We start from the raw sequence: 23,924 nt of genomic DNA, 5'->3' as shown, positions 1-23,924 counted from the left end.
ACTCCACAGTGACAGAGGAACTCATAATCTTGCAAGGAAATCAGAAGGTATCCAGTACTCTTGTGTTCTTTGTAGCACTCACCACTTGCTGAAATTATCTTGCTCACTTACTGGCTTATCAGTTTATTGCCTGCTTTCCCTCTCTGGAAAGGAAGCTCCATGAGAGCCTGAGGGCAGTGTCTTTTTTGGTTGTTTCCCTGAGACTGTTAACAGTGGCTGACACACATAGAGAAGGTACTCAAATACTTGTGTTGGAAATTCAAAGATGAAAGCCAAAATAAATCTAAACAGAACAAAACATGGTGCCTGTCTTCAAGAAACCTAGAAATCGATGAGCACTCTTTGAAAGCTTCCTTTGTATGAGCCTCTGTTCTGTGGACTCAGGATTCCAAGGTGTATGAGACAAAATCAGTTATTTCGAGGAGCACACAGATCACAGAAGAGATGGACAAGAGTTCACAGACACGCTCACCCACAGACAGGCTGTAGGGCGCTCTGCAGACAGTGAGAACCAGACGGCCTCTGACTGGGAGGTCCTGGAAAGGTTTCACAAGGTGTGAAGAGGCAGTGCCTTCGCTTTGCGAGAAGCCTGGGAAGGACCTTCTGAGGCCAAGGGAAAGGGATCTTCTGAGGTTGCAGGGTGGAAAACAGCCTGGACAGGTGGTAGGTTGGGGACCCGGGTGATAAGACAGGAGAGAGGATTACTTAGGCTAAGCTAAGGATACTTTACAATGACCCCTCAGACGAGTGTATAGAAACAGCTATGGAAGACAGGTAGAAAGAATCCCCTCTGTGCTGGAGCTGGGATTCTGTGTGACTGCAGGGAGAGGGCTGATCTTGGTGGCAGAGTCCTCGGCACACGAGAAGAGGTAGGAGCTGGACCAGAGATGGGGCCATGCACATGAATGGTCGGGAGAGATACAAGCAGGAGGTAGCAGTTAATAGTCACACATCCAGGTGGCTGGTTGGATAAGGCAGGAGACATCTGACTCCTTAGTTTCTGGATTGGAAAGGTGTGTGTGTGTGTGTGTGTGTGTGTGTGTGTGTGTGTGAGAGAGAGAGAGAGAGAGAGAGTTGGGGTTGGAATGGGAGTAGTTCCATGCCCAGAGAAAAGAGATATCAGAATGGGAAGTATGAGAATTGAGCCCCTACTATGTGTTAAGCAGCCTCCTTGGTAGTAGGGATCGTCTCTGCTTGTATGGTGCCCACACTCTGGTGGTGCAGACAAGAACCAGCCAGGGAAACAAAAAATACCAAGAGAGCTGCACAGCGAATGCACACGGAGAGTGGCCTGTGCAGCTGTGTGGCTCCTTGCCTTGTTCTGTGCAGGTCTCTCTTCACAGGGGCAGTAGAAATGGCCTCTGAGTGACAAGGTGTCATCGGCCATGCAGTTATCTGGGGAAAAGCACCCTAGGCAGAGGGGGCTCACAAGGCAGAGGAGCGGGGTGACGGCCGTGCTGGAGCTGAGCCCACCAGGCAGTGGCAAGTGAAGTGGCAAATGGGCCGGATGAAGGCTTTGTCAGTCAGAGGAAAAAACTGCAGTTTACTCCGCATGAAAGCAGAGGCTTTGGGGAGGTTTTGAGCAGTGGGTGATCCATGGTTTATGATCTCAGAAGCTCATTCTGGCTGCAGTTTGGTGAATGAATGAAGGGAGATGTCGTGGATACAGGGAGTCCATGGATGCTACTGTCATAGTCAAGACAAGAGCAATGGTAACTTGGATCACGGCGATGATGGTAGAAGCAAAATGCCGCGGTGGTTCAGGAGGTGTTTGGAGGTGGCGTGTATAAGACCTGCAGGTGGGTTGGATATGGGGACGTCAAGGGAGAGAGAGGAATCAAGAATCCATGCCTGGGTTTTTGGCTGGAAAGATTGGGTAAATGGTGGGGCTGTTCACTGGGATTGGGATGGGAAGCCTGGAGGAGGAGCACGTGGGGTGCGCAAGGAATCAGGCGTGGCGTTTGGTGGTGTTCAGCCTGAGATGCATATGCTAGGAAGGCAGTTGGATAAACAAAGCCTGGGAGGATTTGATCCAAAGGATCGTTCAAGACTGCAGCATAGAAACTGCAGTCACAGCATCTAAAATCATGGGATTGGATGCCCCAAGGACAGTATATAGATGCCTCAGTGACATTTTGACTCTGAGGGAAATACAGACGGAGTTGGTTAATCAACCATAGCTGGGTGCAATGTAAGTGCCTGGCTGAAGTTTGACACGCGAACGGACGGCCCGCTGGAATTCTGTGCTATGAGCCGGAGTAGAAAGAGAGATTTGGACTCTGCAACACCAAGGTAGTCGTTGAAGCCACAGTCGTGAATGGAGACCAGGAGTGAATAGTGGGAGTGAGCAGAAGTCGGAGGATAGGACAGAAGAAGGCAGAGCCATGGAGCACCCTGGAGAGGTGTGACCCGGCAAGATCCTGAGATGGAAGGTAGCACGGCCTGGAGTTCAGAAGCGGAGCCTCAAGAGGGAAGAAGCCAGATGCTCCAGAGAGCAGGTGAGTTCCAGCAGCCAGGAGGTCGTCCGTGGCCTCGGTCGGGAGATTGCGGTGGAGTGGCATGGATAATACCTGATGCCAGTGTGGTGAGGATGGCAGACGGGGCCTTTTGAATCTCAGCTGTGGGCAGGTAGATGCTGCCTTTTTCTGCATGGAGAATTGACTTGGGAATGTTGATTTGCTGAAGAAAAGGAGCTTGATGAAATAGGAAGTCGGGTGGAAACAAACCTTAAAGAGGACAGGGCGAGTAGAATGTGGGGACGTGAGATGGCTTTGGACACTGGAAGGAAACCTTTTCCTCAGAGAGGGAACCTTGGAAGGAACCAGTATGGGGGCTGCTGTGGAGATGGAATTCACAGTGCTTTCCCCAGCTTCTGACCGCCATTTCTCTCAATTGGACAGCACTGTGGCCACCTGAGAGTGAGCCGAGGAGGAGAGCGGGGCCTGGGGAAGCAGGGGTGGGGTTGGGGAGAGCGGGAGGCCGGCTGCCAGGTGATGGCCCAGCCTTGCTGAGACTGGAACTGGGAGGCTAGGAACAGGACAATGAGGAGGATGACGGGAGTGACTGGGAACGTTTTAGAAGGAAAGTGATGCAATTAAATTAATAGTTTAGGAAGACATGCAGTACCGGTGTACAGGGGGGATCGGAGAAAGGGCTGGCAGAGTAAATGTTCATACACTCTGCATTTAAAAAATATACTAAACACAAAGGTATGCACAATTCAGATACTCATCTTGATGCAAGTTGACCAGTAGAGTCCAATTGGGGTGGTATCTTGAGGGTGGAAGAGTATTTGATATGTGGAGCTGAGTGAGGGCAAGGTTCCAGAGAGGAGAGAGCCTGGACAGAGGCGCCAGGCTCAAGATGCGCAGCCAGAAGTCAGGGCTCGTAGAGTAGGAGGATCTCATGGCTGGGGGGCTTTGTGCAGAGGAGAAGGGACGGAGAAAGCTGGCACGGTGGATCAGGTCTTCCTTACGCACTGAGTCCAGCTTTGCATTGGGGGAAGGCGTGGGGAGGTGCCAGAGGGCACGGTGTGGGGAGATACCATGACATGCAGATATTTAGTGCATGTTTCCTGCTCATTGGTTTCTATCTGCATCAGAGCTGTGCCTTGCTTTCCTGGAGTTGCTGGCTCATGAGGGATCCAGACCTGATGAGGGGCGTTCTGGAGAGCCGCTGGTAGAGACACGTGTGGTGGGGAAAGCTGTGCCCCGGGATGGAGACGGAGGTCCCTCTGCGCTCCTGTGGAGCTCTCAGGCCCTGCAGCTCTCTGGCCTTTCTGCTCTGTCTCTCTCCACTTCCTCAGTGTGATTCAGCGCATGGCTGGTGCTTCTGCCCTGTGTCATGGTATCCTCCTGACTGGGAGTCTTTCCTCTTGGTTGCCACCAGTGCCCTGGAACCCTTTTTCCCTGCATCTTCCTAGGCTTCGTCATGGTCCGCTCATCCGTGCTTCCATCCTTGCTGGTGCTTACAGTTGTCTGCTTTCGTGTTTGTCTCCCATTAGCCAAAGTGTTCCTTGCGGGTAGGAAGCATGTTTCATTCATTTTCCTAACCTCAGTGCCGAGCATGTTGCCAAGCAAAATAAGTTGAATGAATGAATAAATAGTGAAGGTGCTTAAGTGAGGGAATATGACTGAAATCGTCCTTTAAAATATTAATTTTCCTAAAGGGAAAGAAATAATGAAATACATAATGTGATTGTAAAATTTCACTGGCATGACTTGAAACTTCATTTTTGTTTCATTTATAATATTTTCATGTAATCCAAATACACTAGTTGGCACCAGTGACCCAGGGCTTCTGAGCTACTGTGAACACAGCGTGTCCATATGCCCGAGCTGGTGGGGCATGGCTTGGCGTGGAGCAGCCACCCTGAGTTGATGGGAAGGAGGGAGATAAGTGTTTAGAGCGTTCTGGATGCCTCAGCTTCATTTCCTGGGGCAGTGATAAAAAGCTTTTTACTTTGATGAAAACATTTCTACACAGCAAAGTGAAAGTGTTGCTTATGAAGGGCTGACGTGTTTGAATATGATGAATTATTTACAAAAATACAAGCGTATTTGGCCCTTTAAAAGTTGGTAAGTACTGTGTAAGAAGCGGCTTTGCATAAAGAGCAGTTTACTCTGTTGGAAAAAAAGAGACTAACAGGTAACTGCAGAGTTGCAGTCCAGGGATGGGTGGAGGCTGGTGCAGAATGGGAAAAAACAGCATGGTAATATAGAATTCAAGTTGTAGTTATTGTATAGGATGTAATTTGTGTTTCTGTATTATAGTTTTAGTAGCTTCTGAAATAAACATCTAAAGTGTTATCCAAAAGGGCTTGAAGGCTGGGCGAGGTGGCTCTTGCCGGTAATCCTAGCACTTTGGGAGGCTTAGGTGGGAGCACTGCTTGAGCCCGGGAGTTCTAGATCAGCCTGGGCAACATAGTGAGACCTTGTTTCTAAAAAAAAAAAAAATAGCCCGGGAGGTTGAGGCTGCAGTGAGCCATGATCACACCATTGCACTGTAGCCTGGGCAACAGAGGGAGACCCTGCCTCAAAAGACAAAATGAACAACAACAAAAAAGAGCTTAGTTACTATGGCTTCTTGGATGTGCTAATTACATATTGTATTGGTGTCTCAGGGTTATATACATTTCAAATTTTCTTGGTGTCCCAGGACCAGAAGTTGTCTAATCAGTCATCATAACTTTTTAGGACTATACTCTGCTTCTCAGGGTTAAATATATCTAATTTTTAAAGGCAGATTAAAGATCTACTTATAAAACCTCAGTAATGAAGACAAGTGGTACTGGCATGTGGATAGGTAGACAAATTAATGCAACAGAACAGAAAAGTGTTAACAAACCCAGACACGTGGCAGAATCTAAAGGATGATATAAGTGTCATTTCATTTAGGAGAAGCAAAGATAGACTACTGAATACATGATTTGAGGATACTAGGTAGTCATCTAGAAAAAAATAAAAATAGATTATTCCATGCAGAGCACCTCCAGGATAGATTCCAAATGGATTACATATGTACATATATAGGTATATTTATGTGTATATTTAAATGCAAAAAGGAAATCATAAAAAGAAAAAAAATGAGGAAATTCCTTTCTAGCCTTGGAGTGAGGAGACCCTTTAAATGGGACTCAAAAACCAGAAGTAAAGAAAAGATTGATAAGTTAATCCACATTCAAAAAACACAATGAAACACCTTGGTATTGCCCCAAATCCTGTAAGCCAGGTCTTAGCATGTTCCTGTTGAGGCCCTGGTGCCTCTCCTACCTCTCCACCTATCTTTCTCCATGTCCCATAGCATGCCAGAAGCTCCAACACCATGTTAACAACTCCCTGTAGTTCTTGAATTGTGGCCCTAGAGAAAACACTTAAAGCTCCTATCACAGCATAGTGCTAACCTTCTTAATATATAAAGAGTTCCTAGAAATGATTAAGCAAAGAGCTCTTGGACATGACTAAAAAAAAGAACAGCCTGATAAAAAATAGTCAAAGGAGATGAACAAGACAAATCACAACGGAAGGGAAGTAAATGGCTCTTTGAAAACATGAAAAGATGCTCAGCCTTATTCATGGTAAGAGACATGCAATTGAAAATAACACCTGTGAAAATGGCACCTGTGACATTTGCAAATATTCATAAACTTCATAACACACTGTTGGCAAGTCCACGAGGAGGCAGGTGCTTCTGTACTTTCCTGGTGGGAGTATCAAGTGGTGTAGCTACCGAGGAAGGCAATTTGGCAGTATCCATCAATATTAAAAATGCATGTTGGCTGGGCGTGGTGGCTCACGCCTATAATCCCAGCACTTTGGGAGGCCGAGGTGGGTGGATCACGAGGTCAAGAGCTCAAGACCATCCTGGCCAACATGGTGAAAACCCATTTCTACTAAAAATACAAAAAGTAGCTGGGTGCGGTGGCACACACCTGTAGTCCCAGCTACTGGGGAGGCTGAGGCAGGAGAATCGCTTGAACCCAGGGGGTGGAGGTTGCAGTGAGCTGAGATCACACCACTGCACTCCAACCTGGCGACAAAAAAAAAAAAATGCATGTAACCATTGAGTCAGTAATTCTGCTTCTAGATATTTATTACTCAGACATACTCACACATAGGCAAAGTGACTTAACAAGATATGAATATGGCGTAGTATTGTTTGAAATAGGACATTGGAAACCATCTAATGGCCTGTCTACGAGTGGGCGCTTGGTTAAATAACATTTGCAGCAGTGTAAACGAATGTCCAGAAGATCTTCGAGATACACCGTTATGTGAAAAAAGCAAGGTGTAAACAACATACACACACACTCAGATACATTTTTATGTTAGAAAGGACAATAAAAGCATATACTTGTATTTGTGATTGCGTAAAGAAACTGGGAAGAAACACAAGAAACTGTTTATGTAACACTTGCTGGGCGGTAAAGGGAGGTGGAGGGGAGAAGGGGTCCTGGGGGATGGAAAACCAGAGTTGTGGGGAGACTTTTCAGTGTTACCCCGTTTTATACATTTTGATTTTTGAATAATATAACTTATCTCCCATTCAAAAATTAAATTTCAGAATTAGCAAGAAGGTACCGAAGTGGCATTGAATTAACGGTGAATTGCCTTACTTTGCTGTTCACGTGTTCATTAGGGGGTCATGTTTTTATGGTCTTCCTCCTGGGATCATGGTTTCATTTGTCAGCCCCTAAAATTTGATCGATTTCTGTCTTCCTCTGGCCTCCCACTTCTCCTACACAAGATCCCAAAATGTCAAACGATGAATATTAAAAAAATTGCACGCATCACTACCCCTTGTGGTTATCTTATCAGCTCTTTTCTGACGTCATGCACAGATTTGAACGTGGAAAGCATCACTTCTATTTTAATACAGTTTCTGACTGATGCAATTGATGGTTTCATGCTTAAGATGTGAACTATCGTTTAAACCACTGGAGAGCTGCCCAGCCAGTTTCATCTGGTAGAAATCACTACTTTTTAGAAAGAAACCAGATGCCTTGTTGTAGAAACATGAGCTTTAGATACTAGCGCTTCTCCAGTGAGTGCAAATGTAGCCTCAAGTGACATTGACATTTAATGACACCACTAAAGGGGGCCCCAGCAATTTATTACAAGTTATTCTGTTGTGACAGGGATTTGATTAGTTGACTGGACAGCAGGGGCAGTGGGCACCCCTGCACCTCTTCCTCAGCAGCTTTGCAGGGCAGAGTGGGAGCTGCTGTATACCGGGGCTAGGGGTCTAGGCTGACCAGAACTCTGCCCTGGGAGAGCTTTCTGCCCAGGGCCAGAGGGACAAAGCCTTCCCTCTGGCTGGGCCTTCATGGGGACACTTGAATTATTTAGATTCCCGTGTTTGCCCTCCGCCCTGGTTTTCCTTGGGGTTTAGAGCTCATGCTGTCTCTGGGAGTGTCTCAGTGGGCCTCTTTGCTGTCCCCTCACTGACTCTTCCCCCTTGGTTTGGATATCATCCTGCTTATTTTCCTGTGCTCTGCTTCTAGTGGTGACAGCTTTCTTTGTCTTATCACTTAATATTATTTCCTTCTAGTCCGCTGCTTGGTTTTATTTTAGCTGCTACTTCCTTCCAAGTTACTGGATTTTATGAGAACCCTTTCCTGACCTTTAAACCTCCATCTTCACTCCCCTTGCAAGCTTCTCCTTGGAGCTGCAAGCTCCTCGTGAGATCTCTTCAGGTAACCCGTGGAGCACACCCAAGTCTCTGAAAGGTACGGGCCTGTCAGTGTGCACTCACCTAGTTCTCTTTCTGCAGGGCACCCCTTTCTCACAGGAGACTGTTCTGGGGAAAACCCTGGTGGCGATTGCTCTCTTTTTCTGGGAGTGGCTCCTGGGATGGGGACAAGGATGGGGATGGGTGAGGAGAAGGTGGCTGCACGGTCCTTTCACTCTGTGGAGCACTTAAATCCTTCAGGGGCTTTGCAAGCCACCCGGAATGCCTTTGTGTGAAAGGTTATTCTTTGTGAATAATATTACTGCCCTAGTTTAATTTCATTTCTCAGGCGATCTGACTGTGCGTGCAGAGTTTTGGCACTCTGTATTGTGTAACTGTTCTGTTCCTTTTGTGAGGGCCATCGTTAGGAAATCTGTCCATTTTTTTCCTGTATGATTTTTGAATTTTCTTTGTTTTGTGTTGGTCCATTTTTGAATGTATTTCAGCAAAATGTTTGTGATTCAAAATTGTTGTGACTTCTTGTATCTGGGTTGCAGTCTGGTGGAAAGTACTGCGTATGGCTGATAGAATAAGGCATTCAGTAGTAGGTTTGGGGGTGACCTAAACGTTTTCCAAATGCCATTATTATTAGGTGGAGATCAGCTTCAGAGAGGGCACGTGTATAGAAAGAGATGTAATTCACTCTTGCTCTTTTTTTTTTCTTTTTTTAATCGATATCCTGCTGGCCTGTGTCAGTAATTTTCTTGTGCTTTATGACTTCTCAGTAAGAAACAGTGGATGGTCTGATGTGTTAAGAAATGCATATGTAAGGCCGGGCGTGGTGGGTCACCCCTGTAATCCCAGCACTTTGGGAGGCCGAGGTGGGTGGATCACGAGGTCAGGAGATCGAGACCATCCTGGCTAATATGGTGAAACCCCGTCTCTACTAAAAATACAAAAAATTAGCTGGGCGTGGTGGTGGGCGCCTATAGTCCCAGCTACTCGGGAGGCTGAGGCAGGAGAATGGCGTGAACCCGAGAGGTGGAGCTTGCAGTGAGCCAAGATTGCACACTGCACTCCAGCCTGGGCGACAGAGCGAGACTCCGTCTCAAAAAAAAGAAAAAAGAAAAACAAATGTGTGTGTGCCTGTATTTGTTAAACAAACACCAAGGAGGCACTGTAACCTAGAGTGCTTAATTACGAGCCCCTGCGTTGTAGTTGTTTCTTTTGCTACAGTCGTTAAGATTGTGGTGAAGATTAAATGAGATAATATATAGCAAGTGTTTGCAATAGTGCCTTCAGGAGAGCAAGTGCTGAGACACGTAGCCATTGTTTCCTTGGGTTCTGAGACAGTCTTTTCCGAAAAGGCAGTCTCTGCAAGTGACGTCCAAAGGGGCTTCAGTCGGGAAAGGAAGAGAAAGGCTGCTGAGAGCATCCATTTGGCTGGGAAAGGTGTTTCTTTGTAGTTGCAGGAAGTTCAGCTTCTGGAAACGCTGATATCAGGAAATGGCTGGAGTCCGCAAGCAATTCCACTTTCTTGGCAAGAAATTAAAGGAAAATGTGTTGCAAATAAAAGGGAAGAATTTTTGGAAAAAGAACTAAAAAAAAAAAGGGGATTGTCATTAGAATGCTTCTTCCATTTAGGGGAAGCTATTTTTTGAAAGGCTATTGTAGTCCCATTCCCCATTTATGGGACTTCTGCACCTCCAAAAGAATTCACCTCTGCCCTCTCCTGTCTCTGAGCGTTTCGCCTTCACTCGGTCCTGTCTAAAAGCAGAACGATGCTGTTGGGTCTCCTGCTGCTGGGGTTGAGTGGGAAGGCCCTGCCGCTGGCAGCTCCGGGGGCAGAGTGGCCTTAGGTGAGCCTGGAGCCTGTCCAGGACACCATCCCTCTCTGCCATGGACACTGTAGCTTATATTTGCTTTGTATGGTTTCCCTCTGTGACTGGTTGTTTACTCTAGACTTTTGTAGATTGTTGGTCTGTATTCTTAACTCTGTGTGTGGACTTAGTCCTGTACATGCATCACAGTTTTCTTTTGTAATTTAATTTACTCTAACTTGAAGAAAGGTGAGAATGTGCCCATCATGAGCAATGATCTCCTTATGGGTACATTTTGAGAGTGCTGTGTGTCAAATGCCTTTACACAGCCTCTACGTCTGGTTTGCCTTTATCTGAAACAAAGCTATCAAGGCTTTATCTAATTTTAATTAAAAATTCTGCAAATAATTTGAGGAATTACACTTTTATATGTTACGATATATCTGGAATTGTTTAATACTGTCGGATGGGCATGTGTACTTCTCAAAAATGGTTGGCTTCTGTCTCTCAGTAGGTCATATTTCATAAACATTCAAAGACCTTCCAGGCAGGCGTCCATTGTGCAGCTGTGGCCAGGTGCTCCTTCTCATCCCGGAACTGTGTTTGGAGCAGCAGGGGAGCAGGTGGGTGGCGATGCCGCTGTTGACTCCTGCTCGCCTGTCTTTCCTCGACATCATAAGCTTGAGTTCTGCTGTCCATCTCAGATGACTAGCAGTGCCCTGCAGGAATCACTGAGCGCGTGCTGAATGAAGGGGTCATGAGAAGCAGTGTGGGACACTTGGAGACGTGTATTTTGGAGCAAGACTTGGTCTCAAATCTCAGCTCTGTGTAATTTCTCAGCACTCTAATTTTCTCATCTGTAAAATGGATGTTCAACAAATGTCAGTTTATTGAATAGTTCATTAAATACTTTTTCCTGCACAGAAGAAATTGCAGGCTTGTTTTAGGTCATAATACTTTGGAATTTTCTTGAATTGCCCACCTTACATATTTATAATCAGTTTTGATTTCAAGTATGATAGGCTCCACCTAGGTTTTCAACATAAAAAGAGACAAGAAAATGGAGAGCCGTTTCCAGAAATCCTTCAAATGTTGCTTTTGATTTTTAAAAGAGGCTGTGACTTCATGACAAGGTCTATAAATGAACGTCCTTGCACTCCGGGGTGGGGACAGAGCTGCAGTGAGGCCTTTGCCCTCGCGTTCCTGATGCTGCCGTGGAACTGTTCCCTGGTCTGTGCCAGGCTGGCCCATTTTCCTGAGAAGGCTCAAGCATGCTCCTATTTTAGGATTTGACCTGCTGTTTGTCTTGCTGGGTTATTTTGCCTCCCTTTATACTTGTTTCCTACCTTATATAAGGGCATTGTCCTCAAGTGGAGGAATATGTGAAACTATTTGTAGTCAAATTTAGCAGTTGTTTTGGTGGATATTAGTAGTTGGCTAAAGGAAGTAAACTTTTTTTTTTTTTTTTGAGATGGAGTCTTGCTCTGCTGCCCAGGCTAGAGTACAGTGGCATGATCTTAGCTCACTGCAACCTCTGCCTCCCAGGTTCAAGCAATTCTCCTGTCTCAGCCTCCCTAGTAGCTGGGATTACAGGTGCACACCACCAAACCCAGCTAATTTTTGTATTTTTAGTAGAGATAGGGTTTCACCATATTGGTCAGGCTGGTCTCGAACTCCTCACCTCAGGTAATCTGCCCACCTCAGCCTCCCAAAGTGCTGGGATTACAGGCGTGAGACACCGCGCCCAGCCAGGAAGTAAACTTTTCAGGAGATCTCAGTCAACAACTGTGTAGGTTTTGCCAGATTTAATGTGCTTGCGTGTCTGTAAACTCACCCTAAGGACTTACTTCTGATTCCACTGGTTCTCTGAAGTACTCAGTTTCCCTTGAAGAAAGACGTCTGTGAACTCCAGTTTTCTATTTGGGTTTCCTTGCCCACAGAGCCTGAGATAAGGACAGGTGGTTCATTTGAGAGGTGACTGCAGCAGGCAGGAGTAGGGAGTGAAGCAAGGGGTCAGGGGCAAGAAGGGAGAGCCAGTAAAAGGCGAGTTACTGGTTCCAGCAGGCCCCCGCTCAGGAGGACAGAAGGCAGCCGCACCCTCGCTGTGCACTCCCAGATGCTTCTTTTGGAAATCGAGTGGGCTCTCCTGGCCCTGGCAGGGGTGCTGGATGAAAGCAGCAAGGCTCAGATGTGCGCCTGAAGTAGGATCCACCACTTCAGGAGAGACTGACCTCACTAGGCACAGGCCACCACTGCTGTGGCAGAAACCAGAAGCAGGCTGAGAGGATGTGGTACCAAGCGCCAGAGGCTTCTGCTACTAACACAATTAGGGTGACGTTTATGTTCTTTATTCTACTTTCCAAGTCTGAGGTGTATGATTTTTTAAAAAGCACTCATTAATTTTTAAAGTTCCCAGATTTCCTGGAGATCAACGTAAATCCAGACAATCACGCTTGCCCTGGCCTTGCTCATGACCGTCCATGCTTCTGAGCTGCAGTGGCAGAAGTGGGCAAGTGCCAGGGAGACAGCAGGGCTGACAAAGTCTGAAACACGTGCCATCTGGCCTTCCACAGGGGAAGGCTACCCCTGTTCTAAGACAGTCATTTCATACGGGGGTTTTCATAGAATACGCTGTGTTTAGGTGCCTGTGTTGATGAAGTACATGCAGTGTGATGTTTCAATATACGTATATGTTGTGAGTGCCAGTTAGAAGACGGGTGATCAAGAATTGGAATTTCAAGAGATCCTACACATTTGGCGTCTCCCTTCACCTTCCCTGGGTGACAGGTACTTCCACAATTCCTGCCTGTTGCCCTTACCTCTGGGCATTGTACATGTGAAGAAAGGTGCTGGTGGTTTCTCCCAGGCTGCTTCCTATGGGCACACCCACTTCCAAGAGGATGCATGGGCAAAGATCACTTAAAGAAATCTTCACGGAGACTCTTAAAAATGAACTTTTCTGGCCGGGCATGGTGGCTCATGCCTGTAATCCCAGCACTTTGGGAGGCCGAGGCCGGCAGATCACGAGGTCAGGAGATCGAGACCATCCTGGCTAACACACGGTGAAACCCCGTTCTCTACTAAAAATACAAAAAAAAATTAGCGGGGCGTGGTGGCGGGCGCCTGTAGTCCCAGCTGCCCAGGAGGCTGAGGCAGGACAATGGCATGAACCCGGGAGGCGGAGCTTGCAGTGAGCCAAGATCACGCCACTGCACTCCAGCCTGGGCGACAGAGGGAGACTCTGTCTCAAAAAACAGAAAAAAAATGAATTTTTCTGAGGATGTCTACCTGACAACAGGTCTGCCAGTCGTACTTTTCAGCTTTCTTTTAAAAATATATTTTTTAATTGACTAGTAATGGCATATGTTTATGAAGTACAGTGTGATTCTTTGATGTATGCATACATTGTGGAATGATTAAATCAGGTGAATTAACATATCTATCACTTAACCCACTTATCATTGTTTTTTGAACATGTAAAAATCTATTCTTCTAACAATTTCTAAATGTATAAGATGTCATTATTAACCATGGTAACCATGCTGTGCAATGGATAGCTAAAGCTTATTCCTCCTGTCTGATGGAAACTGTATGCTTTGACCAAGATCTTTCTTTTCCCCATCCCTGCCTGTCCCAGCCTCTGGTGACCACCGTTCTGTTCTCTACTTCAATGAATTCTTTTAAAAGTTCCAAATATAAGCGAGGTCATTCAGTATTTGTCTTTCTGTGCCTGGCTTATTTCACTTATCTGTTTTCACGACTGACTTTCTCCGATTTCCAAAAGAAGAAAGGGATAGCCCTTTCTTCTTCAGAGCCTTACTATGGCTCATTGCCCCAGCATGTAAAAATCTCTGGGGTACTAAACGATGGGACAATCTGAAAAGGCTCTGTTCCTAGGGCAGAGTTTGGGGAGAACAAACTAAGGAGAGCATCTGTGAATGTGGGAGACTCTTTATTTCACTAAGTCAGCAAACCCATGGCAAGGCTCCATCCACATACTCATCTGTCCATACATCTGTACACCCATCCGTTCATCTGTCTGTCTGCTCGTCTCTCCATCCATCCATCCATCCATCCACCCACCCACCCACTCACTCACCTATCTATCCATCCACCCACCTACCTATGCATCCACCCATACATCTACCCACCATCCGTCCTCCCATCTATCTTAGAACTATAATTCAGAAATGAGAAATTGTTACAGGGATGCAAGTTAGATGATGTATTTAAATTATAAAATAACCTTTTCAGACAGAAATTAGGTCTGATTGAGCTATTTGACTTGCCACTGGAGAATGGCTTTCCAGGAAGGTTGTTTGGTGGACAGGGTCCATGGACTGAGTGAACTATTCCTCAGCTCCAGGTTTTGACAAAAATATGTATGAGGCATATTTGCCGTAAAAAAAAAAATGTGAGAACATACATCATTCACAACTATTTAAACTTGTGATACAATTTTTATATGGCAACTTAAAAATGTGTGATGGGACGCACGTTCTTTGGCAGGTATGCCGCAAGAGAGCGAGTGAATGCAAAGGGCTCTTTAGAGCTGAATTAACAGGCTGGATGTGAGCGAATTACCTAGGCTGTGTAGCGTTCACCCACCTGAGAGTGTCTGAAAGCATAAAGGCCGGACTGGTACAGCCAACAGGCATAAGGACTACAAATGGTTTTACTTGAGATCTGTCTTACAAGTCTCCTCAGCAAGATCAGAGAGGATTCCAGGGGCTAGTCTTTCAACTTCCAACCAGTCCGTACCACTGTTGTAACCAGAATGATTATGTGGGGCTATATACACCTCAGTGCTTTGCAGAGCACTACCCCTCTAAAATCTCTGCAATTGATTATATTTTCTTTATTTTAATTCCACGTTAATGTGGCTGTGTCCCTCCTAAATACAGCCTGAGTCCTTTGTTGAGTGCCTCCTATGTGTCGATAGGGTGGTGCACAGATGGACGTCCATGACCTCAGGGAGCCTGTGCCTCGTGGCCAAGGCCGACCTGAACAAACGTATCATGCTAGACACATATGCACGGGAAGCCACATTCATCCGGGGCATCTAGGGACATCTCCCCAAGGAAGAGACAGAGGAGAAGGAAAAGACTGTGTTAGCCCCTATGGATGTGGGGCTGTGGGAGAGCAGGTGTTTCTGGCGGAGGGGCAGCTTGTGCAGAGACCTGAAGGGTAGGAGACATCTTTAACTGCAGGCGTGGCTTTCCAGAATCATGGTATTCCACCTTCCCAGAGTCAAAGCAGTAAGTTACACCCCCGATGAAATGAGCACATCACACACACACACACGTTCATGATTCCACGCCCCGAATGGGCGTCAAAGGAAACCAGATTCCTACCAGCCACGCCTCTGCCACTCCAGCTGGTGGCCTGCAGGACAGAGGCTGCGGGGCTGCCGTGGGAGGTACAGGGTGGCTGGAGAGTTGAGATGAACCGAAACACCGCTTGCCAGAGACGGGACCGTGTTCTGTTTCAAAGATTGCTTTCTATTCCTCATCTTCCTTGGTTCTCATAACAGTCCGAAGAGGAATCCTAAGCAAAGTGAGGCTCAGGAACATCTAGGGCATCTAGGAACAGACTTGAATCACCACACGGTGGGTGCAGTGAGGGAGGAGCCAGGCTGCTTTGCCTTAGCTGTGCTCAGGGTCTCAGTGGAGGGCCTGCCCCCAAGGCACTCTAAATAATATTTGCCAATATTAGCTGAGTGGCCAGTGCCCGCTCTGACTGTGGGTTATCATGGGTGAGGCACCACCTCTGCCTCTGAGAGCCAGCATTGCTGGGGAAGCATTTGCCAGATTACTGAAGTGTAACTTTTAAAGCACCTGTTTTTAGTGATTTCAGTTAGTTCAGACATCAACCTTTAAAACATGTGTGATGCCTTCTCTTCTTAGATATAGTGTTGTGCATCTGATATTTTACCTTTTTATGAGCATCAGTTATTATTGTTTTATAGTAGAGAAATGTATTTTAAAGGACTCTTGAGGTTTACAGTTCTGTTTGCTGCTATAATTAGTTAACTACCTCATATTTCTAGGTATTTTTATTTGTCTTTCTAAAGATAAATAAAAGATTTAAAAAAACCTTTCTTATGACTTTTAACATTTTTTTTTCTTTGTTGACCTCTGGGCGTCAGTCACCCCTTACTGGCCCCCACGTGTCTGCTCAGAAAGCCTGGCCATCCTCCTCTATTCAGTCTCTTGGGTCCATCCCTCTTCTGTGGTCAGGTGAAGCAGACAGCCATGTTGCTGTGATCAGCTTGCCTTGAAGATGGGAAGGAGCTGAAGGGCTGGCCACGGCCAAGTGCTGAGGTCACCGATTTAAGACACCTCTTCTGACTGCATGGACACTATATAGTGACATCAGACAAGTGATATTTGTTCTGTGTGCAACTATTCTGAATATTTCCTGGTAGGTGCTGGCTGAGGACAAAGTAACAGCCAATGCAAAATTATCATACTTCTTATTAATAGATGAGTTATATTATTCTTGGCCAATTATGTAAACCATTTTCATAAGTAATTTTATAAACAAATTTATAAACTACTGTTTACATAATCTGTGTTTTATTTAAATTTGTATCTTCTAGCAACAACATCGCTTAGTTTATCAGACTTCATTTGAAATCACTTGACATCCAGATAGGAATATGTTGTGGTTTCCGCGTTTCTGAACAGGAAGGTTTAGAAGGGAAGAGGTAGAGGAACACTGCAGCACTTATTAATGGCTAATGGTCTGTAACAGTGTGTGAATAACAGGTTATTACATAAGAGCTCTTCTTAATTTTTATGTTCATTTTCTTTGAGCCAAAATGTTAACTGTTTTCTTTCCCATTTTGGAGTTACCTGAGTAAGCTTATTTAAATTTTGTAATCTTGCTGATAAAGTAACATGAAATTTTTACTTTTAAACTTTGCAGACCAAGAATATACTTGTTTAATATACCTGTTTGCTGAATAAATAATGTATTGTGATAGGTGATTTGAAAATGGTAAAAAAAATTTTAATATGTATCTAATAAGTAAACAGAAACAGAAAGGCAGGCAATTTTTAAAAAATTTTTAAAACACTGGTAAATAGAAACCATTAGAATCTTTATGTTTTGAAAGCCTTTCAGCAGTTAAAAATTTCACATTAATTAAGTCTGCATTTCCTATACCCTAATGGGAAAGAGTTACATGCATGCAACTTAAAGACCTTTAGTCGATTCAAGGTTGTATAGATTTTTTTTTTTTTTTCTGGTGACAGAATCTTGCTCCATGGCCCAGGCTTGAGTGCAGTGGTGCGATCACAGCTCACTGCAGCCTCAACCTCCTGGGCTCAGGTGATCATCCTGCCTGAGCCTCCTGAGTCGTCGGGACCACAGGTGTGCACCACCACACCTGGCTCATTTTTAAAATTCTCTATAGAAGACAAGGTCTCCCTATGTTGCCCAGACTGGTCAAGAACTCCTGGGCTCAAGCAGTCCTCCCTCCTTGGCCTCCCAAAGTGTTGGGATTACAGGCGTGAGCCACTCCACCTGGCCATAGATTGATTTTTATGTCTCTCTCTCTTTTTTTTTTTTTTTTTTTTGGGACAGAGTCTTGCTCTGTTGCCTAGGCTGGAGTGCAATGGTGCAACCTCGGCTCCTTGTAACCTCTACCACTCATGTTCAAGGAATTCTCTTGCTTCAGCCTCCCAAGTAGCTGGGATTACAGGCATCCATCACCATGCCTGGCTGATTTTTTGTATTTTTAGTAGAGATGGGATTTTGCCATGTTGGCCAGGCTGGTCTTGAACTCCTGACCTCAGGTGATCCACATGCCTCAGCCTCCCAAAGTGCTGGGATTACAGGTGTGAGCCACTGCATCCTGCCCTCTCTTCATTTTTTATCTTGATTTTTTTTGCAGTTGAGAATTATAATAGGTATGGCTTTCTTTAAAAATAAAACTAATCTCTGAGTTTTAAATTGTGCAAATGAAGGGAAGGATGAAAAGTCTCAACAGAAAGCTGAAAAACAAGGTTTCTGGGTGTGATGTAATGAATGTGACGCTTGCAGTCAATTGACTGGAGTTTGAATATTGACTAGTTTGAATTTGGTTCCTCCATACATTGGTTGTGGACTCCTAGGCAAATTGTTTAACTTTTGAATGTCTCCCTAATCTGTAAAATGGTGGTAATTTTACTATCACACAGCCAGCTAGCTTCCTTCCTTCCTGCCGCCTGCCTGCTTTCCTTCCTTCCTGCCTTCCTCTCTCTCTCTCTCTGTCTCCCTCCCTCCCTCCCTCCTTCCTTCCCTCCCTTCCTTCTTCCCTCCCATTTGGTCAGGATAAAGATGAAATAATGAATGTGAAGGTACTTTGTAGACTATAAAAATCAGCATTGTTAGGGCGTCATTACAAAATCTGGAGGACACAGAATGTAAATGTTAATAAGCCTTATTGTTATATAATGTTTGAGTGGTAATTGTGTGTTCTAGGTTCTTAAAGACTCTAGTTTTCCCTTAGTATAGTAGTTAACTTTCTATTGTTGTTTGAATAATCTATTTTAGATTGCTAGGTAGGCAACTAAATACATAGCTTATTATGCAATGTGGGTGTTGTGTGGGCGACTTAACCTTGGGATGACGAACTTAACTTTTACCAGTTTTGGTTAGTATATATTTTAATGATGAAGTTTAAGATTTCATAGTATATCCTTTTTTAAAATTTTATTTTCTTTGCATTTATCTGTGTAGTGATGTGGCAATATAAAATATAAAGTTTGAATGTTCTAGCTCAAAAACCAGTGCAAATTAGATGGTCTGAAGACAGGAATGTGTATTACATGCGTCCTTTCAGAACACAACACAATGGCAAGAATTGGTATAAGAAAATTAAATCATTTTTATTTTAAAGCTATATTTGCTTTGATATAAAACGACTCCTTCCACCCTCTCTCTCTGTCTCTTGCCTTCCTTCTCGTCCTTCCTCTTTGTTAACTCCATTTGTAGTTGGCTTTTATTTGCGTTTAGTTTTGACTCTTACTGTGCTTTAAAAGTTATCTGAAGTATAAAGTGAAAATAAAAAGGAAGGTGAATGTGTTGCATAGTAGAATCATCGCCAAACAGAAAGGGTTAAAATACTTTTTCTTTTCTTTTTTGGTGGGGGGAGGGTGGTGGGAAGTAAGAGGCTTTCCAATGAGGCATTTCACAAAGGCATAATCTTTGAATCTGATTAGATACCATGTTGAGTTGGCCTCTTTCACCCAGCACAGAGAATTTCTGACCCATTTAAAAAGAGATGTTACTGACAACATCTGCTAACGGCAGGCGAGGGCTGGCTGGAGGAAAGGAGGAGATGGGAAATGGAATAAAAACCTATGGGAGATGGGATTGTGGTGAATGAAGGCTACAAAGCGTTTTCTCATTTCAAGAGATAAAGACAAGGCATATTTTGAGAAATTATCTTTTGGCTCTGGGGAAAATCAAGCCAGATTTTGCCTTCTGCTTTGGCGTTCTGCCCTTATTGTAAATATCATTCCACAGAGAATTCCGTGATAGCTCCGTAAAGTCTTGAGTACAAATCTGGGAGGACGCGCCCCGCCTGTGCCGGGGAAACTTGGGTCCTGGGTCGATGACCCCTGTCCTTGCCTTTCTTTTTCCGATCCTTGGATGAGAAGAAGCTTGCACTATTGACGCAGAACCTTTTGCCACTTAACATGATGCCTGGAAACAAAGTGGGGTTTTGTTTTTGTGACCCTGTTATGCTGCCCGACACACAGGACGTTCTCCAGAATGTATGGAATGAATTTTGACTGCATGTGTAGTCTTTCTCTTTTTCCATGCCAAATGTGAAAAATTTTCCGCAGTCTTGTGTGTGTTACCCGTCCGCCATAAAGCTGGACACCGTCATTCAGTCAGGTACAAACCTTGCACGTTAAGGACACCTAGGCAGGGCCTGGGTGGTGCAGTGGCTTTTCTGGCAGGACATGTGTGCGGTGACAGAATCAGGGCCACATTCTGGAAGCCACATCCTAGTATGGTATAGGTGGTGGTGGTTGTTTTGATTGTTTTTTATTGCTTCAGCCTTGATCTGTGATTCTTTGCCGTTCCACTGAGCAAGCTGGTTAAGTGCATCGGTCCTGGGGTCACCCTAGCTAGCTGCAAATCCTGGTCCCATCTCTTATAGTCTGTGAGAAGTTTATTGCATAACTATCCTTTTTGCCTCAGTTCATTTATAACATGGGATGAAAATAATAGTACCCTTGTTCATCAAGCAGTCCAAAGGGTTAAATTAATTAAATAATAGGTGTGTAGGACAGTGGGCTGAATACATATGAGCTGCTCTTTCATTTCCATGATGATTTCATTTACAGTCTGACAATTTTCACATGAATCGTCTCAGGTGGGTCATGGCAGTCTTGTTAGAGAGGCAGGCTATTGAGATCCCTTTATTTTACAGATACTAAAAGTGGCTTTGAGGTGTTAAGTGACTTGCCCTTCCGAGGTGAGGGGTGGCTGGACCTAGGCAGAGCATTTCTACAGCAGATGGAAAGATGCCTGACACAAGCAAACACAGGGCATCAAAAGGAGCCTCATTTCTGCACCTCCAATTAGTACTTCACAAATGTGTTCGGGCAGATGCATAAACAGTCTATCCAGTTTTTGCAAAATAATAGCTTGCGTGGCAAATGTCCTTTTGTGAACCGTAAGTATTGCATTTAGGGTGGGAAGCTGGAGGGGAACAGACAGCAGCTGTTCTTGGGGATACAGTTGGGGCCTCAGCCTGTGGAACGTCTGGAATGTGAGGTTTCCTGTAAGGGCTGGTTTTGCCTGCATTTTTCCTTGTGAAGGTTTTTTGAAAAGCTGTAAATTGTAATAAAATTGGAGTTCTTCTTTTAAATGATTGATTCTCAAAATTCTACATGAGTAGAATATGCATTTCATAAATGTAACTTGGCAAGTCATATTTCAATATTTCTACTTCAATTTTGCTCCTAGGAAAATTATTGTAACTTTATTTTGAAGAGTGTTTGTGTGTGTGTGTGTGTATGGGAGGGATTTCCTTTTCACATAGCCAGTGAACTAGCTGTGTGTTTGCTAATGGGATAAAGTGTGTTGAGGTGAGCACTTGAGGTCTACTTCCCAGGGTTTACCCTAACCCAGGAATAGGAAGTAGGGGATTCCTTTGATAATATGCATCATATGTCCTAGGCAAACAAGAGGGGAACCATGTAAATGTAAATGTCTGTTTACAGATAGAATTATGCATTTGAAATTGGTATAAAAATAAAACAAGAGCTAAGGGATTTCCCAGAGGTCATGGGAATGGCTCCTATTACAGTAAAATGCTTACATAATGATAACACTTAGCTTGTGATATTTGCAGTTATTTTAAATGTTATTCTTTGAAACACTGCATACAGGCAGCTTACTGTAATGGTGCAGTATATAATATTTTTCTATTAAGAGAATGGAATCTTCTGTTTCTATCAAACAAGATATGTCTACCTCTATTTTTTATTAATAATTTTTCTCTAATCGTTATTAAAGGTACCTTTATTCTTGTATGCCCCAAATGGTGTATGTTACTAAAACCAAAGTTCACGCTGTGTTTACGATAGTCTATTGATTTGTGTAGGTCTGTTCATTGATTTGTATGTACGTGAAACTGTCTTAAGTACTTATTTGAAACCTCTGAATAAATTTTATAGAATTCATAGCTAAGAAAATGTTTAGATTTGCCACAAATCTCTTTGGAATAAGTTAAAAGTAGATATACTCTAAAGTACCCACTTGTTTGCTTGGATAGCGTAATTCCAAATCCGCTGTGATGGTCGTGCACGCGTGCATGCACACACACCCACACACACACACACTCACACCCCACTTGACTTGCACCATGAAGACAAACCCCATCTCTGACATTTTGCCTGTGCCAAGACTAAACTGGTGCTGGTATTCAGTCTTACAAAATGAAAAATAATAACCACTACCCCCACCAATGAAATAACAAATAATATTCCTTTGGGAGATATTAACCTTTTCTGATGCCTTTTATCAATCCAATCTCTATGTTAGGCACGTACCTTTTAATGCTATTTTATTTTGGGATCATACTTGCCTGATCATCTCTCAATTAGAGTGATTCCAAACATTTTTCCACGGAGAATACTGCGCCTACCTAAAGGAAGCCCTTAGGCTGCCTCTCAGTCTTAGTGAAGTGACTGCTACTAGGAGTGTGAGTTGCCCACTCAATTTACTAAAGGAATGTCCCCTCTACCTCCCCTCTTAATTATTGATTAAGGCAAATGGATCTTTATTTCATTGGCAACCTGGAGGAGTAGTAGTCCAACCACTTCCCAGGCAACATAGAGCGATGGTCGCTATATAAATGCTTAAATGAACACAGGCCAGGGACCCATGGAGCCACCTGGACCATGCCATGTGGAACTAGCCAGTGTGAAGCATGGGTTCTGGGGACATCAGAATGAGATTGTGTCTACAGAAAGTTTGTTAGGAAAGACTGACACTTGGGGCACGTGCACATTGTCTTAGTACCAGGAGTACCGTTCTGTTTTTCCAGAACAAGTGGTTACTTTCTTTCTGTGGGCACTGAGTTTTGTAAACTACGAGTTCAAATTTTCACCTTGTCAGTTTACAGTCAAATTTATGGCTTCTCCGTAGCCTGTGTGTCACTTTTGTGGCGTGTGTTTTGTGTTATCTCCTTTCCTGCTTCTGTTTTACTTCCCTACCTCTTGTTTGCTTTCTTCTTTTTCATTTCAGTTTAATGCATGCTATCTTTGTCTCGCTGTAGTTTGTGTATATTTGAAAACTTTCTTAAATGTTCTCTGGAACAAGGTGAGGTAAGTAATCTTCATTTATTTGGTATCGAATACAATCCTGAGTGTGTTACCTTTGTTTTACATAAGGGGAACCAGCCACACAGCTAATAAAGTTGCAGGACTCAGGTTCAGCTTGAGGTTTCTCCTAGAAAGCCCAGGCTCACTCTCCCAGCTGTGCCCTGTTCTCTCAAGAAACCAACAGATACACTCCGCACACTCCTCAACAACCCATGACGCTCCACACACACACACACGATCTTCAGTGGGCACCGCTGCAGACACATGCATTCCACAAACCCTGCAGATCCGCTGATCGGAGGCATTGATTCTCAAAGCACATGGCCTGAAATTATACTAAAAACGCAAATTCCTGGGCCCTACCCCAGACGCACTGAAACAGAAGCCGTGAGGGAGGGGCCCGCAGCTTGTCAGTCATCGCGAGGTGATTCTGTTGCACTCTTGACTTTCAGAACCACTCAGGAGATTACACACTTTGGAAAAAAAAGAATTGTTTTTCTGATAGGACTTTCTTAAATAGCAGACCCTATGAGTCTGTTTACATTTGAATTTATAAGGATTCAGGTTATATATATCACTTCAAAAATATCTATTATGGAAAAATAGGAATTTTTTAAAAATAAAATTATTCTCAAGACCAGCCTGGCCAACATGGTGAAACCTCATCTCTATAAAAATACGAAAAAAAAAAAAATTAGCCCGGCGTGGTGGTGCACACCTGTAGTCCCAGCTGCTCGGGAGGCTGAGGCATGAGAATTGCTTGAACCTGGGAGGTAGAGGTTGCAGTGAGCTGAGATCGTGCCACCGCACTCCAGCCTGGGTGACCTGAGTGAGACTCTGTCTCAAAAACATAATAAAATGAAATAAAAATGTATTATAGACTATTCCTGTTCTCTAATACTCCTCCAGACGACCTTTCCCTGTTTCCTTTGAAGACATAAATGTTGGGTTTTGAAATGTTTGCTATTTGATTTCATTTTTCCCCTCAATTATTCCATCTTCTTTCTCCCTTCCGAGGGGGTTTTACAGTTTTTTTCTACTCTGTAATTTCTGTAGCTATAAAGAAAAGTTAATGTATAGGTAAAGAAAAGTTAATGTATAG

At 44.2% G+C, this 23,924-nt stretch overlaps 1 protein-coding gene across 7 annotated transcripts in view; it reads left to right on the top strand.

Annotated features, from left to right (window-relative positions):
- PDE10A (phosphodiesterase 10A) overlaps positions 1-23,924 on the top strand; it is a 660,764-nt gene that overhangs the window by 330,742 nt on the left and 306,098 nt on the right. The window contains exon 1 of one of the 7 annotated variants that reach the window (XM_047418099.1): positions 1,974-8,227. The exons of the other annotated variants lie outside the window; for them this stretch is intronic. The gene's annotated coding sequence lies outside the window, so the exon portion shown is untranslated. Of the gene's footprint in view, positions 1-1,973; positions 8,228-23,924 lie in introns of those variants that run through there. 7 annotated transcript variants of the gene reach the window in all.

Source organism: Homo sapiens, chromosome 6, assembly GCF_000001405.40.
Source record: "Homo sapiens chromosome 6, GRCh38.p14 Primary Assembly".
In the NCBI taxonomy this organism is placed as follows: Eukaryota; Metazoa; Chordata; class Mammalia; order Primates; family Hominidae; genus Homo; species Homo sapiens.
This window is presented reverse-complemented; position numbering and strand designations above follow the sequence as displayed.